Source organism: Homo sapiens, chromosome 19 (assembly GCF_000001405.40).
Source record: "Homo sapiens chromosome 19, GRCh38.p14 Primary Assembly".
In the NCBI taxonomy this organism is placed as follows: Eukaryota; Metazoa; Chordata; class Mammalia; order Primates; family Hominidae; genus Homo; species Homo sapiens.
In genome coordinates, this window is record NC_000019.10 from 29,461,788 (window position 1) to 29,478,543 (window position 16,756).

Genomic DNA, 16,756 nt, shown 5'->3' on the forward strand with positions numbered 1-16,756 from the left:
TCTGCACCAAGCGGACCTAATAGACATCTACAGAACTCTCCACCCCAAATCAACAGAATATACATTTTTTTCAGCACCACACCACACCTATTCCAAAACTGACCACATAGTTGGAAGTAAAGCTCTCCTCAGCAAATGTAAAAGAACAGAAATTATAACAAACTATCTCTCAGACCACAGTGCAATCAAACTAGAACTCAGGATTAAGAATCTCACTAAAAGCCGCTCAACTACATGGAAACTGAACAACCTGCTCCTGAATGACTACTGGGTACATAACGAAATGAAGGCAGAAATAAAGATGTTCTTTGAAACCAACGAGAACAAAGACACCACATACCAGAATCTCTGGGACGCATTCAAAGCAGTGTGTAGAGGGAAATTTATAGCACTAAATGCCTACAAGAGAAAGCAGGAAAGATCCAAAATTGACACCCTAACATCACAATTAAAAGAACTAGAAAAGCAAGAGCAAACACATTCAAAAGCTAGCAGAAGGCAAGAAATAACTAAAATCAGAGCAGAACTGAAGGAAATAGAGACACAAAAAACCCTTCAAAAAATCAATGAATCCAGGAGCTGGTTTTTTGAAAGGATCAACAAAATTGATAGACCGCTAGCAAGACTAATGAAGAAAAAAAGAGAGAAGAATCAAATAGACACAATAAAAAATGATAAAGGGGATATCACCACCAATCCCACAGAAATACAAACTACCATCAGAGAATACTACAAACACCTCTATGCAAATAAACTAGCAAATCTAGAAGAAATGGATACATTCCTCGACACATACACTCTCCCAAGACTAAACCAGGAAGAAGTTGAATCTCTGAATAGACCAATAACAGGATCTGAAATTGTGGCAATAATCAATAGTTTACCAACCAAAAAGAGTCCAGGACCAGATGGATTCACAGCCGAATTCTACCAGAGGTACAAGGAGGAACTGGTACCATTCCTTCTGAAATTCTATTGGAAAATCAATAGAAAAAGAGGGAATCCTCCCTAACTCATTTTATGAGGCCAGCATCATTCTGATACCAAAGCCGGGCAGAGACACAACCAAAAAAGAGAATTTTAGACCAATATCCTTGATGAACATTGATGCAAAAATCCTCAATAAAATACTGGCAAACCGAATCCAGCAGCACATCAAAAAGCTTATCCGCCATGATCAAGTGGGCTTCATCCCTGGGATGCAAGGCTGGTTCAATATACGCAAATCAATAAATGTAATCCAGCATATAAACAGAGCCAAAGACAAAAACCACATGATTATCTCAATAGATGCAGAAAAAGCCTTTGACAAAATTCAACAACCCTTCATGCTAAAAACTCTCAATAAATTAGGTATTGATGGGACGTATTTCAAAATAATAAGAGCTATCTATGACAAACCCACAGCCAATATCATACTGAATGGGCAAAAACTGGAAGCATTCCCTTTGAAAACTGGCACAAGACAGGGATGTCCTCTCTCACCGCTCCTATTCAACATAGTGTTGGAAGTTCTGGCCAGGGCAATCAGGCAGGAGAAGGAAATAAAGGGTATTCAATTAGGAAAAGAGGAAGTCAAATTGTCCCTGTTTGCAGACGACATGATTGTTTATCTAGAAAACCCCATTGTCTCAGCCCAAAATCTCCTTAAGCTGATAAGCAACTTCAGCAAAGTCTCAGGATACAAAATCAATGTACAAAAATCACAAGCATTCTTATACACCAACAACAGACAAACAGAGAGCCAAATCATAAGTGAACTCCCATTCACAATTGCTTCAAAGAGAATAAAATACCTAGGAATCCAACTTACAAGGGATGTGAAGGACCTCTTCAAGGAGAACTACAAACCACTGCTCAAGGAAATAAAAGAGGACACAAACAAATGGAAGAACATTCCATGCTCATGGGTAGGAAGAATCAATATCGTGAAAATGGCCATACTGCCCAAGGTAATTTACAGATTCAATGCCATCCCCATCAAGCTACCAATGACTTTCTTCACAGAATTGGAAAAAACTACTTTAAAGTTCATATGGAACCAAAAAAGAGCCCGCATCGCCAAGTCAATCCTAAGCCAAAAGAACAAAGCTGGAGGCATCACACTACCTGACTTCAAACTATACTACAAGGCTACAGTAACCAAAACAGCATGGTACTGGTACCAAAACAGAGATATAGATCAATGGAACAGAACAGAGCCCTCAGAAATAATGCCGCATATCTACAACTATCTGATCTTTGACAAACCTGAGAAAAACAAGCAATGGGGAAAGGATTCCCTATTTAATAAATGGTGCTGGGAAAACTGGCTAGCCATATGTAGAAAGCTGAAACTGGATCCCTTCCTTACACCTTATACAAAAATCAATTCAAGATGGATTAAAGATTTAAACGTTAGACCTAAAACCATAAAAACCCTAGAAGAAAACCTAGGCATTACCATTCAGGACATAGGCGTGGGCAAGGACTTCATGTCCAAAACACCAAAAGCAATGGCAACAAAAGCCAAAATTGACAAATGGGATCTAATTAAACTAAAGAGCTTCTGCACAGCAAAAGAAACTACCATCAGAGTGAACAGGCAACCTACAACATGGGAGAAAATTTTCGCAACCTACTCATCTGACAAAGGGCTAATATCCAGAATCTACAATGAACTCAAACAAATTTACAAGAAAAAAACAAACAACCCCATCAAAAAGTGGGTGAAGGACATGAACAGACACTTCTCAAAAGAAGACATTTATGCAGCCAAAAAACACATGAAAAAATGCTCATCATCACTGGCCATCAGAGAAATGCAAATCAAAACCACTATGAGATATCATCTCACACCAGTTAGAATGGCAATCATTAAAAAGTCAGGAAACAACAGGTGCTGGAGAGGATGTGGAGAAATAGGAACACTTTTACACTGTTGGTGGGACTGTAAACTAGTTCAACCATTGTGGAAGTCAGTGTGGCGATTCCTCAGGGATCTAGAACTAGAAATACCATTTGACCCAGCCATTCCATTACTGGGTATATACCCAAATGACTATAAATCATGCTGCTATAAAGACACATGCACACGTATGTTTATTGCGGCATTATTCACAATAGCAGACTTGGAACCAACCCAAATGTCCAACAATGATAGACTGGATTAAGAAAATGTGGCACATATACACCATGGAATACTATGCAGCCATAAAAAATGATGAGTTCATGTCCTTTGTAGGGACATGGATGAAATTGGAAACCATCATTCTCAGTAAACTATCGCAAGAACAAAAAACCAAACACCGCATATTCTCACTCATAGGTGGGAATTGAACAATGAGATCACATGGACACAGGAAGGGGAATATCACACTCTGGGGACTGTGGTGGGGTCGGGGGAGGGGGGAGGGATAGCAAAAAAAAAAAAAAGTGTATTTTTATGGAATACATAAAAGGTAACTCTTGTGAGTTATGACTTTGAAAAAAAAAAAAAAGAAATTAAAATCATTTGAGAACCACTGACTGTAAAAAAAAAAGACAGACAGTTTATCTTAAGAATAACTGGTGTTCCTAAAGAAAAAAATCCAACAAGTAGAACAAAATATGTATTCAAAGATATAATACAAGAAATTTTCCCTGTATTGAAAAAAATAAATGAACATGCTAAAAACAAAACAAAATAAACAAAATAGCACAATGTGTTTTAGCAACATTTGATACAGAAATTCCAACACAAAGACACAGCCCATCCAATTAAGTTATTAAACTTCAAAGTTAAGAGAGAAATTTTTACATATCTAAGCAGAAAGAGAAAAATCACACACAATGGGAAAATCAGGCAAGACACTGACTTCTCTACAGCAACACTCAGAGCCCGACAAAAAGGTATTAATGTCTGTGTTTGGAGGGAAAGAAAAGGCAGCAAAGAATATTACACCCAGCCAAAGTTATTCATGTATAAAGGCAAGAAGCATCCATTCTGAAATGTTAAATACTTCAGGAAATGTAGAACACAGAAGCCTTTTTCAAGAAAATAAAATGAACTATTCACAATTAAATCCAAGCAATTAACAGATTAGAAATACGTAAAAATAAACATAGGAATTGAGACATTGGGGTAGAAGAAGGAGGAATGAGCAGAGAGTTCACTTAAATATAGATAAACATTAAGTAACTCAGGGAATTATGATGACAGAACAAAGTGTGAAATTAATTAAGCTGGACAAGGTAAAAGTAAAAAAGCTAACAACTCTTGGGAGATAGGATGGTAAAATGACGGGGAGGTGAGTAAATCAACATCTCATCTTTCAAAGAAAGGAGCCAATAGACTAAATTTGAAACTTTTGAGAAAACTCGAAACTTGAAATGAATTTTTTTTTAAAAAAATGACTATAAACTCCTGATGTGTTTCACAATCTCTCTTTTTTGTTTTTAAGGGATTTTCTGGGAAATAAATTTTACATAAAAAAATATGTATTTGAAGTTCACAGTTCCCTCAGTTTCACTTCACTTACATTTTCTTCTATTAAGTAAAATTAAATACTTTATATTTTGAAATAACATCTAGAGATGGTCATTTTTTATAAAGATAAGTATTTGTCCAGGTATCCATGTTACTTTCTATCAGCATACATAGGTGTCTGGAATTATGTTTGCCTAAGTTAGTGAGATTTAGGGTTTTTTAAAAGATTTTCTTCACTGTACATTTTTGCCTCATTTAACGTCTTTATGATATGCATGATTCATTTTTATAAAAGCAATAGAATGATTTCCTTAAGGCAATTATGCCAAGATATTAATTATAGTGATTAATTTCTGGTAGTAAGAATACTGATGGGTTTTTTTTGTTTGGTTTGGTTTTTCATAATGCAACTTAAACTTCAAAAAATATAGTTAGGAAAAATAAGGATGGATAATCATGAAAAAATAGAAGTAAAATCTGTAATTTCTAAATCAGGAGAGGAAAGTGATGAAAGCTTTAGTAATTAAATGTAAATGAGGAAAAGAGTTGAAGAGAAGAAAATAAAATGGTAAAGAAAACATATATCAGACCCTGTTGAAAACAAACAAAAAAAGAAAACATAAAATAAGCAGTAAAAATAAGTTCAAATAGATCATGTCAGCACTTGTAATAAATATAAACAGGTTTAAGTTATAAATTAAAGGACAGAGTCTAACAAATTGGATTTTTCTTAATCTAGTGATATTTTGCTTATAAGAGACACACGAAAATAAATGACCCAGGAAGGTCAAAAATAGAGGAATGGAAAGAATATCGCTGGCACAACAACAACAAAGCAGAATAGCAATATTAGTAGCAGATAAAATCTAACTTAAGGCAAAAAGCATTTATGGAGATAAAGAACTCCATGTAATTATAAAAGGAAAGGACTCACCAAGGAGATATAACAGTCATGAATTTTATGTACCTCACAGCAACATAGCCTCAAAAATGTGTAAAGCAAAACTGACAGAATTTTAAGAAGAAACTGATAAATCTATAATCAGAGTGGGAGATTCTGGCTCACTGTATTGGAAATTGCTCCAGCAGACAAAAATTACTTATAACATAGAAAACTTGTACAACATCGTAGCAAGCTTGGTCTAATAGATATACAAAGAATCCGTCAACAAATACAAAGTGTGCATTATTTTCAAGAAGATAAGGAATACTTACAAATAACAAATCTTGCAACAAAAGTCTCAACAAATTTCAGAAAATCAAATATCAACAAATATTATTCTCAGACCCCAATGCAATTAACTCAGAAATTGACAATTAAAAGACAAAAATATAGAATATTTTAAAATTACACTCCTAAATTACTTGTGTGTTAAAAGTGCAAATTACCGAAACATTAAAATATCAGGGGCTAAAGGAAAACAGGGTTCTACAAAACATAAGTTGTGGAATAAATTCAATACTGTTCTTGATAAATTCATTTACATAAAAAGAGTGAAAATAAATGTTATACAACTCAAGAAGAAGATTAAACTCAAAAAAGGAAAAGGAAGAAAATGATCGTAGTTAAGGACTAGAATGTAAGTAGTTTATTAAGGAAGTACTCCCAGAAGAAACAAGTAAGGAAGTGGGAAAACACAGTAAATACAGAGAAGATTTGTTCTGTCTTACGGCAAAAGAGTTGAGATATACTGTATCTAGCCAGTTACTGGCTACAGGATGTCTGAGGTGGGAAGCATGTAAGCCTCAGGCACCTTTAGCTCTCCATACCAGCAGGTGGCTCCAGTGCCCAACAGCAGTCCTTTGAAGATTGCAAGTGCAAATTTTTAAGAGCAAAATACACGGAAGCTTTGGGAGATGAGCTTACTGAGCTGGTAAATAGAATGCACAGGCATTTAGTAAGGGCATCCAGGGAGGCTACTACAGAATTTTACAGAGGAGGAAAACAAGTACCACCACCAAAGGAAATGTTCAATACAACCAGAAATCACTCATTTTAAAAGAACGAAGTAGATAGATCTCTAGAAAAACAGATGAAGAACAGCAAAACTGCATTTTTCAAAAGGCAATATGTAAGCAGCCAACATTGACTACGCCTAGTACGACATATCTCTCCCACCCATTACAACTAAAAATTCTAGACAAAATACAAAAAGCAACTACCTGGGGGTTTTGAAAAGTTAACAATTCCAGAGCAACCACTAAGAAAAGTGCCAGTAGATTAATTTAAAAGAAATTTAAGAAAAAAAAAGAAGGCAGAAAAGAAAAGAAAAACAAAAGTAGAGAGGACAACAAACAACAATAAAACGTAGACCTAAATCCAAACATATCAATTATTGTGTTAAACGTAAATGACTTAAACATCAAGTAAAAGACAGAGATTATCTATTTGGATTTTCTAAAGACCCACATATCTGCTATACAAATACTTAAGGAAGAAACAGTAACAACTCTATTCAATTTATTTCAGAATATAGAAAAGGAATGAATACTTCCCAACTCATTTTGTAAGAGATGTATTACCTTGATTTCAAAATCCAACGAAGACATTACAAGGATTTTTAGAAGTTAAAAACTACAGATCAATATTTCTCATGAGTGTAGATGCAAAATTATCACCAAAATATTAACAAATTCTAATAATATTATAAAGATAATACACCACGATCACATGAGGTTTACTCTGAGGATGCAAGGTTAGTTTAACCTTGCAATCAATGTATCGTATTAGCAGACTAAAGAAGAAAAACCATGTGATTATCTTAATAGATGCAGAAAAAGCACTTAACAAAAGTTTACCACCATGACTTTTTTTAATACTCAGCAACCTAGGAATTTAAGAGAACTTTCTAAACCTGATTAGGGCCATCCACAAAAGAAACCTACAGCTAACATCAAATTTAATAGTGAAAGATGGAATGCTTCTCCCCTAAAATGAGAAACAAGGCAAAGATATCTACCTTCATCTCTCTTATGCAGCATCATACTGGAAGTCCCAGCTAGTTTGACAAGGCAAGAAAGGGAAATAAAAAGCATACAGATTGCAAAAGAAGAAATAAATATCCCTTTATTTTCAGATAACATGATGTTAAATTAAATACATTAAATACAAGATCAATAAACAACAAATCAATTGTATTTCTATATACTAGCAATGAAAAACATTTAAAATATGTTTTACCATTTACTGAAACAGGAAACACATAGATATAAATCTAACAAAATATATGCAAGACCTGTAGGCTGAAAACTATGAAACACTCATAAAAGAAAACATTCTTTTCTTTTCTAAATAAATGGAGTGACAAATGTATGTCCAGAGGTTGGAAATTCAGTATTGCTCTCAATTCTCCCTAAAATGGTCTACAAATTCAATGCAATCTCAATCAAAATCTTAGCAGAAATTGTTGCAGATACTGACAGGGTGTGTCTAAAATTTATTGGGAAAGGCAAAGGAAATAGAGTAACCAAAAAAATTTTGAAAAATAAAAGTAAAGTTGGAGGACTCCCACTACCTGATTTTAATGCTTATCATAAAGCTACAGTAACCAAGAGAGTGTGATACTCGTGGCAAGATAGACATATAGATCTATGGAAAATAAAGAAACTCCAGAAATAGACACAGACAAAGGTGGCCAACTGATTTTTGACAAAAGTGCAAAGGCAAGTCAACTGAGAAAAACATAATGCCTTCAACAAATGGTGATTAAACAATTAGGCAGACAAAAACAAACTCTACTGACCCATCCACACCTCACACCTTATGAAAATATTAAAACGTAGTATAGGAATAAATGTTAAATTACAACACTTCTAGAAAAAAAGGAAATCTTTATGACTTTGGGTTAGAAAAAAATTCTTAGATACATCGCAAAAATATGATCAACAATAGAAAAAAAATGAATTTGATCCAAATCAAAAACTGCTCTGTGAAAGACACTACTAATAAAATGAAATGAGAAGCCACAGACTGGGAGAAAATATTTGCAAATCATTTATCTGACAAGAAAAACTTCTATTCAGACTATATCTTAAAATCTAAAAACTCAACAACAGGAAAACAAACAACCCAATACAAAGTGGGCAAAATATTTCAAAAGGCACTTTGACAAAGATGATACACACAGAGCAAATAAACACTTAAAGGTTTTCTACACCATTAATCATTAGAGGAAACACAAATTAAAAACCACAGTGACCTGCTAAAAAGACTAACCTGTGCCTATTAAAACAACTGAAAAAAATAAGTAAAACCTGATCATTTTAACTGCTGCCTAGGATGCAGAGCCACAAAAACTTTCCAACAATCGCTGATGGGACTGCAAAAGGTAGAGACACTATGGAAAACAGGGTAGCAGTTTCTCATAAAGGTAAACATGCATTTACCATATAATCCAGCAATCCTAAGCTTAGGTATTTAACTAATACAAATGAAAACTTATGTTCACGTCAAATCCTGTACATAAATGTTTATATAGCAACTCTATTCGTAATAATCAAAAAACTACAAACAAGGTGAATATCTTCAACTGGTGAATGGATAAACAAATTGTGGTCTACACATACAGTGGATACTATCCAACAATAGAAAAAGAACAAAATATTAAAAATACAACATGGATGAATGTCAAATGCGTTACACTGGTATAGCAGTAGGTAGTATGGTATGTAGCTTTTGAGTCTAGCTATATAATCCTATTTGTATGTCATTTTGGAAAAGGCAAAATTATAAAGATGCTTGCCAGAGGTTGGGGGTAGTAAAGGTAGTTGACAACGATAAGGCAATATGAGGGAACTTGGGGGAAAACACTGAAACAGACTTGGTGTGCTGGTGGTTACATTTGTCAGAACTAGTAGAACTATAGACCAAAAAGGATAAATTCAACTGTATATAAATTAAAAATAAATAAAAACGATTTGAAAAAAATACTGAGAATGAAAGAGAGACAGCATGACAGATTCAGAAGAGATATTTTTTAACCATAAGAAAAAACATGAATCACTTTATGCCAGAAAGTTAGAAAATATAATTGATGTAGACAATTTTTGGTAAAAAATATAAATTATCTAATATTGTGACTCAAAAAAAATGAGAAATTTGAATGAACAAAGAACGATTAAATAAATTATATATGTTGCCAGCCGAAAATCTATTTCTTAGATAGACAGCAAGCCCAATAACTTTATAGGCAAATATTTCCTAGATTCTAAACATACTACCACATCATACTAAAAATATTTTTTAAAACACAATTTCAGAGGACAGAAAAAGGAAAACTATCCAAATCATGTTATGGGGCTACTATAACCTCATTACCAAAACCAGATAAAGACTACTAGAAAACAAATACAGACTTGTTTGCACACATGTATATGTGTGTATATATATATATGTGTATGCGTGTGTGTATTTTATATATACATATATATTATAAATACATAGAAAAATAAAGTTCATCAAGAATCCTAAAATCAAGATCAGCACATAAAATCAGTAACTCTTCTAGAATCCAACAATGAACCATTAAAAATGTTATTTTTTAAAGAGTCATTCATAGCAGCTGTAAAAGCTAGCAAGAAATATAATGAAGCTATTTAATGTACTTATGAAAATATTACATACTATAAAAACACCAACATGAATACCAATATGTACTATGTTCATGGATGAGAAGACATTATCATAAGCACATCTAATTTTCTTATATTGAACTATAAAATAAGAACAATCTCCCTTAGAATGTTAACACTTTTTTGTAATGAAGCTTAGCAATCTGATCCTAAATTCGTGCTGAGTGACAGGAAGGACAGACAAGACAATTTTTAAAAGAAAGTGTAAACAATGTAAAGAGGATGTAACCAGTAATAAGATTTGCTATAGAGTTGGCATCACTGAAACAATGTGGCATTATACAGGAACAGACAAATAGATTAGCGGAACAAGGAGAAAGCGCTGAAACAGACTCAAGTAAATATAAAAACTTGATAGATAACAGAAAAGAAATTAAAAATTAGTAAAGAAAAGTGAACTCAATACATGGTGCTGGGACAATGATACATCTATCTATACATACATAGATGTACATGTATATGTATATCCATGTTAAATATATATATATCCTTGTGTATAGATATAAAAATATTTAATGTTTATATAGAATATATTGATAAATATACAGTATATATAGTCCTACATTTCACTATTTACAAAAAAGCATTCTAGGAATTTTAACATTTTGAATGTAAAAATGTAATCTAGAGAATTTCTGTTTTCCCTCTGTATTTAGTAACACGTAACTGACAAATAAAATTGTATATATTTAAGGTGTACAATGTGATACCTTGATTATATATAATATATAAAATATATATAATATATATAATAAAATATATATTATATATAATAAAATATATATATTATATATATATTTTATATATAATATATATTATATATAATATATATAAAATATATATTTAATATATATTTTATATATAATATATTTAAAATATATATTATATATAATATATTATATATAATATATTTAAAATATATATTATATATAATATATTATATATAATATATTTAAAATATATATTATATATAATATATTATATATATATATATCTTGTGAAATGATTACCACAATCAATTTAGTAACACATCCATCACCTCACATAGTTACCTTTGCTGTGGTGAGAATATTCAAGATCTATTCTCTGAGTAAATTTCAAGTATACGATACAGTATTACTAAATATATTCACCACACTGTTCACCTAGAACTTATTCCTCTTGTAACTGAAAGTTTGTACCCTTTAACCAACATCTCTCCTTCTTTCCCTCCCCCGGCCCCTGCAACCCCACTCCACCTTTATTTCCATGAACTTGTCTTTTTGAGATTCCATATATAAGTGAGATGAGATAGTATTTGTCTTTTTCTGTCAGACTTATTTTGCTTAGCAAGATTTCATCAAGTTTCATCCATGTTGTCACAAGTGACGGGATTTCCTTCTTTTTATGGCTGAATAATATTCCTTTGTGTATATACACCATATCTTTCAACATATGATTCATCTATTCATCCTTCAACACTTATGTTGTGACAAAAGCCATAGCTTGACTATTGTGTATAATGCTGCAGTGAACACGGGAGTACAGGTGTCTCATCAACATACTGATGTCATTTCCTTTGAATATATACCCAGAGGTGGGGTCACTGGATCATACACCAGTTCTATTTTTAATGTTTTGAGGAAACTCCCTACTGTTTTCCATAATAGCTGTGCCATTTATGTTCACACCAGCAGTGCACAAGGGTTCTCTTTTCTCCACATCTCACCAACATTTGTCATCGCTTGTCTTTTTGATAATAGACAAGGTGTGAGGTGATATCTCAATGTGGTTTTAATTTGCCTTTCTTCCGTGATTAGTGATGGTGAGCCCCTTTTCATATACCTGTTGACCATTTGTATGTCTTCTTTGAGAAAATCTACTTGCCCATTTTTAAAATCAGGTTCTTTGTATTTTTGGTATTGAGTTGTATGAGTTCATTATATATTTTGGATATTGGCCTCTTATCAAATATATGGTTGACAAATATTTTTTTCCGTTCCATAGGTTGCCTTTTCATTTCACTGATTGCTTCCTTTGTTGTGCAGAAGTTTTTAGTTTGGTGTATTCTCACTTGTTTATTTTTGGTTCTGTTGACTGTGGTTTTGATGTCATATCATAGTTTCTTAAACACAATATCAGGAACACACACCATCAGAAATAATAAAATGCTATGTGTAATTATATTAAGATTTTAAAACTTCTGTGTGCTAAAGATACAAAGTTAAAAGATAGGTTATAACATAGGACTATATTCCAACACATATAACCATTAAAGGATTAGTATCAAGACTATCTAAAGAACTCCTACAAAGCAATTACAAATAGTTTAATGGTCAAATTTATAAAAGATAAAGCCCTTATGGACTGAATGTGTATAAAATGCTACTTCATTTCACTAATACTCAGAAAATATGCAAATCAAAACAATGAGATGAAATACCACATCAGAACACATCACCAGATTAGCTAAAATTTTTAAATCTGGCAATATCAAGGGTAGTTATAGTTGAAGGGAAATAAAAACATTCACAAGTTGTTGGTGGGAATTAAAATTTATATAAACACTTTCAAAAACAATTTGGCAAGCTGATATTAAGGTGAAAATCCATACATCTGATGGCTTGGCACTTCCACTTCCAGGTGTACATGGAAGAGGAACATGGCATACAAGTCAAGAGGACCTGCTCAAAGATGTTGGCTGCTTCAAGGTAAAGTTCAGCAATGGAAGAATAGGTAAATGATCGTGGCATATTCACATAATAAAATATAACTGCACCACTAAAATAACTGAAGGTGTACATCTCAACAGGGATAAATATCTCAGAAATACAATGTTGCATAAAAATATATTAAAGGCCAGTTGTAGTGGCTCACGCTTGTAATCCCAACACTTTGGAAGGTCCAGGAAGGTGGCTCACTTCAGGCCAGGAGTTCAAGATCAACCTGGGCAACATAGTGAGACCCCATGTCTACAAAAAATAAGAACATTAGCCAGGCATGGTGGCATGTGCCTGTGGTCCCAGCTACTCCAGAGGCTGAGCTGAGAGGATCGCTGGAGCCCAGGAGTTGGAGGCTGCAGTGAGCTATGATTGTGACACTGCAGTCCAGCCTGGGCAACACAATGACACCCTGTCTCAATAAAAGTGGCAGATATGCATGTATTGTGTGACCCCATGTACTTAAAATGTGGATGACACATAACAATTATGTATACTGTTCATGGATACATATACATGAGGCAAAAGTATCCAAAGCCTGATAAGGAAGGATACATCCTATTTCAAGGAGTGGTCCTGCAGGGGGGTGAGGGGTGTATAAAAAAAAGACTCTAGCTCTATCTGTAATCATTTGCCTTAAGAAAGAAGAAGCACAAGAGAAAAGGTGAGAGAAGAGAGGGGAGGAAGGAGGTTAAAAGATAGATGGATAATGGAAACATGGATTATTGCTACATTTTCCCCGTTTTTTTTTTTTTGCTTGAATTGTTTTTATAACAGAAAGAAGGAAAAGATAGGGGAGGGAGGAAAAGATTAAATAGAAATTCACCAAAATGTTTAAAGCAACTATCTCAGGGTAGGGCATAGTGGAGAATTTTATTCTTTTATTTACATTTTTTTCATATTTTCCGAATTATCCCCAGCAAACATGTATCGCTTTTATGAGCTGACAAAAACAATAAATGCTCTTTGTAAAAGCACCTTGCTAAGCTGTTGTGATTTAAACGCCTGGATTGTGGGAGAGACGCTGATATTCTGGACATCCGGGCCAGCTCCCGGAGCGACTGTCCAAGACAGGTTTCTGGGGGAACTGATAAGCGAACAACCGAATTTAAATTCCAGTATCAGTAGCAGCAACCCAGGCCTCAGGAGGTGAGGGCTCCAGGAGTCTCCATACTCTGCCGGCCTCCCAGGGGACAGGGCTGCCACAAGAGATAAAAGCCAGCTCTCTGGTTCTCTCCAAAAATCTTTGAAAATCGTTTTTTGAAGATCGAGGTGACTGAACCTCATAACCATGTTATCACAGGCCCCATCTATGCCATTGAAGACAAGACGGGCATCCCTAAAAGACCTAGCCCGTGGGCATGATCCTATGTGCTTCCTGTGGACACCCGGCTCAATGACTGGCCAAGCCCATCCCCAGTGGCTTTTTCATATTGCTTAAAACACCTCTGGGAAGTCTTATTAATCTTGTCTCTATTTTACAGAGATAAAAATGGGACTCAGAGAAGTTAATTGACTTGGGACAGGGCCACCCAGCTAATAAGCAGTATGGAGTCAACACCCAAGAAAGCCACTCTGTGCCCCAGGGGAGTCCCAGGAGGCCACCCTTTGCCCCAGTAGTAGAATATTGGGCACCAATAACAGGCTAAGGGGAGAAATCATATTGGATACGTATGCAACATTCCCCAAAGTCCCAAACCCACCATGACAGCAGCCCCAAATGCAGGGGCAGAACAGGGCCTATTCTGAGGTCAAACTGTACATTCCTGTCCCCTGACTCCAGTCCTCCAATCCCCCTCAGCCCACAGGGGTCCTTGTAAGCTAGAGAAGCTGCCACATTCACGGTGCCCACCCTGTCCTCCCATCTCCCACTTCCCGTGCTCAACTCTCAGACAGTTAATGTGAATAGATGAGAAGTTTAAGTACCTTGGAAAGGGCTAAATGAATAGGAATGGGAAAATCCCAGTGTTTTTCTCCCATCAGTCTTTCTGATTGCTCTTAACTCTATTTCCTGGACAGGGTCTGTGGCAGTCAAGCTCCTGGCTAGTCATTTTTTATCACCATCGGGAAAAACACACAGTACTTAGAGCAGCAGGGGCCCTCTTAATATCTAGGCAGGAGGTAACCCACAGGGCAGCTATTCCCCAAAACTGGAAATGGCTCTTGGAGGCCCGGCAGGTTTCTGCACACCAACCAAACGCCTGAGCTCCCAGGAGGGAGAAGAGGAAGACTGGAGCCTTCTGCCCAGCCTCCTGATTTTCTTCCCAGGGCTCCCGGACCCCCTACCCCAAGCCTTAGCCCAGCTCCCATGCTAGATGACTTCATATCCTATCCCATGGGGCAAGTTACAGAAAAACTGGAACTCCCCATTTTTATATGAAAGTGCCTCAATTTGTTATTAGTGGCAACTAATTTTAAAAAGCTCTAAATGCTCTCTGGACTGAATGAAACAAGTCTGCAGGATGAATCTGGCCTCTGGGCTACTGTTTGGTCCACGGGCTGGCTAAGAGCAGGTCTAAGACAGACAGCAAAACAACCACAACATATAAATGATAGAAGATGCCTCATGCCTATCCTGCCCTGACTGTGCGCCAGACAGCCCATGCTACAGCCATTGTGTGGCAGTGAAAGAAGGCCTCGCATGACCAGCTCCGTTTTGCTCCTAACCTACCCCCACATGATATCTTCTAGGTTAACTGCTATTGCTGATCTCTGCATGTAGGCCAAGCTCACTATGGGAGGAATTTCATTTATAGTTTAAAGCAAAGACGATCATGGTCTCTTCCCAACACTCACCCCCAAGGAGATAAGGAGGGCATCCCACGAGCAACACCACGTGTTCAAGATGCATCCCTGGAACCTGAACACGGGCAGAAGATTGCACAACCTCCCTGGACCCTTACTGGAGCAGGCTGTCCGCGGTCCTCAGTCACTTTTTTTTTTTTTTTTTGAGATGGAGTCTCGCTCTGTCACCCAGGCTGGAGTGCAGTGGCTTGATCTCAGCTTATTGCAGCCTCTGCCTCCCGGGTTCAAGCAATTCTCCCACCTCAGCCTCTCAAGTAGCTGGGATTACAGGGGTGAGCCACCATGCCCGGCTAATCGGCTAATTTTTGCATTTTTAGTAGAGACAGAGTTTCACCATGTTGGCCAGGCTGGTCTCAAACTCCTGACCTCAGGTGATCCATCCGCCTTGGCCTCCCAAAGTACTGGGATTACAGGCGTGAGCCACCGCACCTGGCCCTTGGTCACTTTTTCATCCCAACCTCCCCCGCTTCCCCTTTCCCTTAACATCAAAACAGCCTGAGATTTGTACTGACTTAGGATGGTTCTGTAGGGCATTCATCTACCCTCCTCTTGGCTGCTGGCTCTCCAAAATAAAGTCGTCTTCCTTGTCCCGACTACTTGTCTCTCGATGTCCATGGGTTTGGGCTTATGCTAAACCAACACCATGAGGTAGCGGCGCAGGTGTTTTCGGTGCCCTTGGTCTATCCCAGATGTCAGCAGCTACTATGGTGGGCAGGCCCACAAATGCGGGCAGCAGCCCTCCCGAGGGCCTGCCCAGCCTCTCCACACTCTGGCTACCAGGCTTCTTCCAGGGATACAGGATGAAGTCTTCCAACGTGGGAGCTGGGCCAAGACCTGGGGCTGCTCACCCAGAAGTGGGGCAGAAGTAACCCTTGGCCCATGGGATACAGGTATCAGTGGATGCAGGCCTCTACCTGTGGCCTTTGGAGGGACAATTTTGAGGGGCATTCTGCATGTACCTCAGGGGGTCCCAGACACCGCGAGCCCCTGTCACCTGCAGCCATAACCAGCCCAGCAATGCACTCTTTCAGAGGAATCCGAGTTAAGATAGTTTGCTGATAAAGACCCTGCAGCTCAGAGAGGTGAAGTAATTTGCCGAAGGCCTCTCAGCTGCTGAAGGACACTCAGGGATTGAAGAAGGACGAACTGGCTCTCATGTCCTGCTCCTGACCAC

The 16,756-nt window shown here is 36.5% G+C and overlaps 1 long non-coding RNA gene across 1 annotated transcript in view; it reads right to left on the minus strand.

Annotated features, from left to right (window-relative positions):
- Window positions 1-16,756, minus strand: part of VSTM2B-DT (VSTM2B divergent transcript) — a 238,742-nt gene that overhangs the window by 174,779 nt on the left and 47,207 nt on the right. The gene's annotated exons all lie outside the window — the stretch shown is intronic.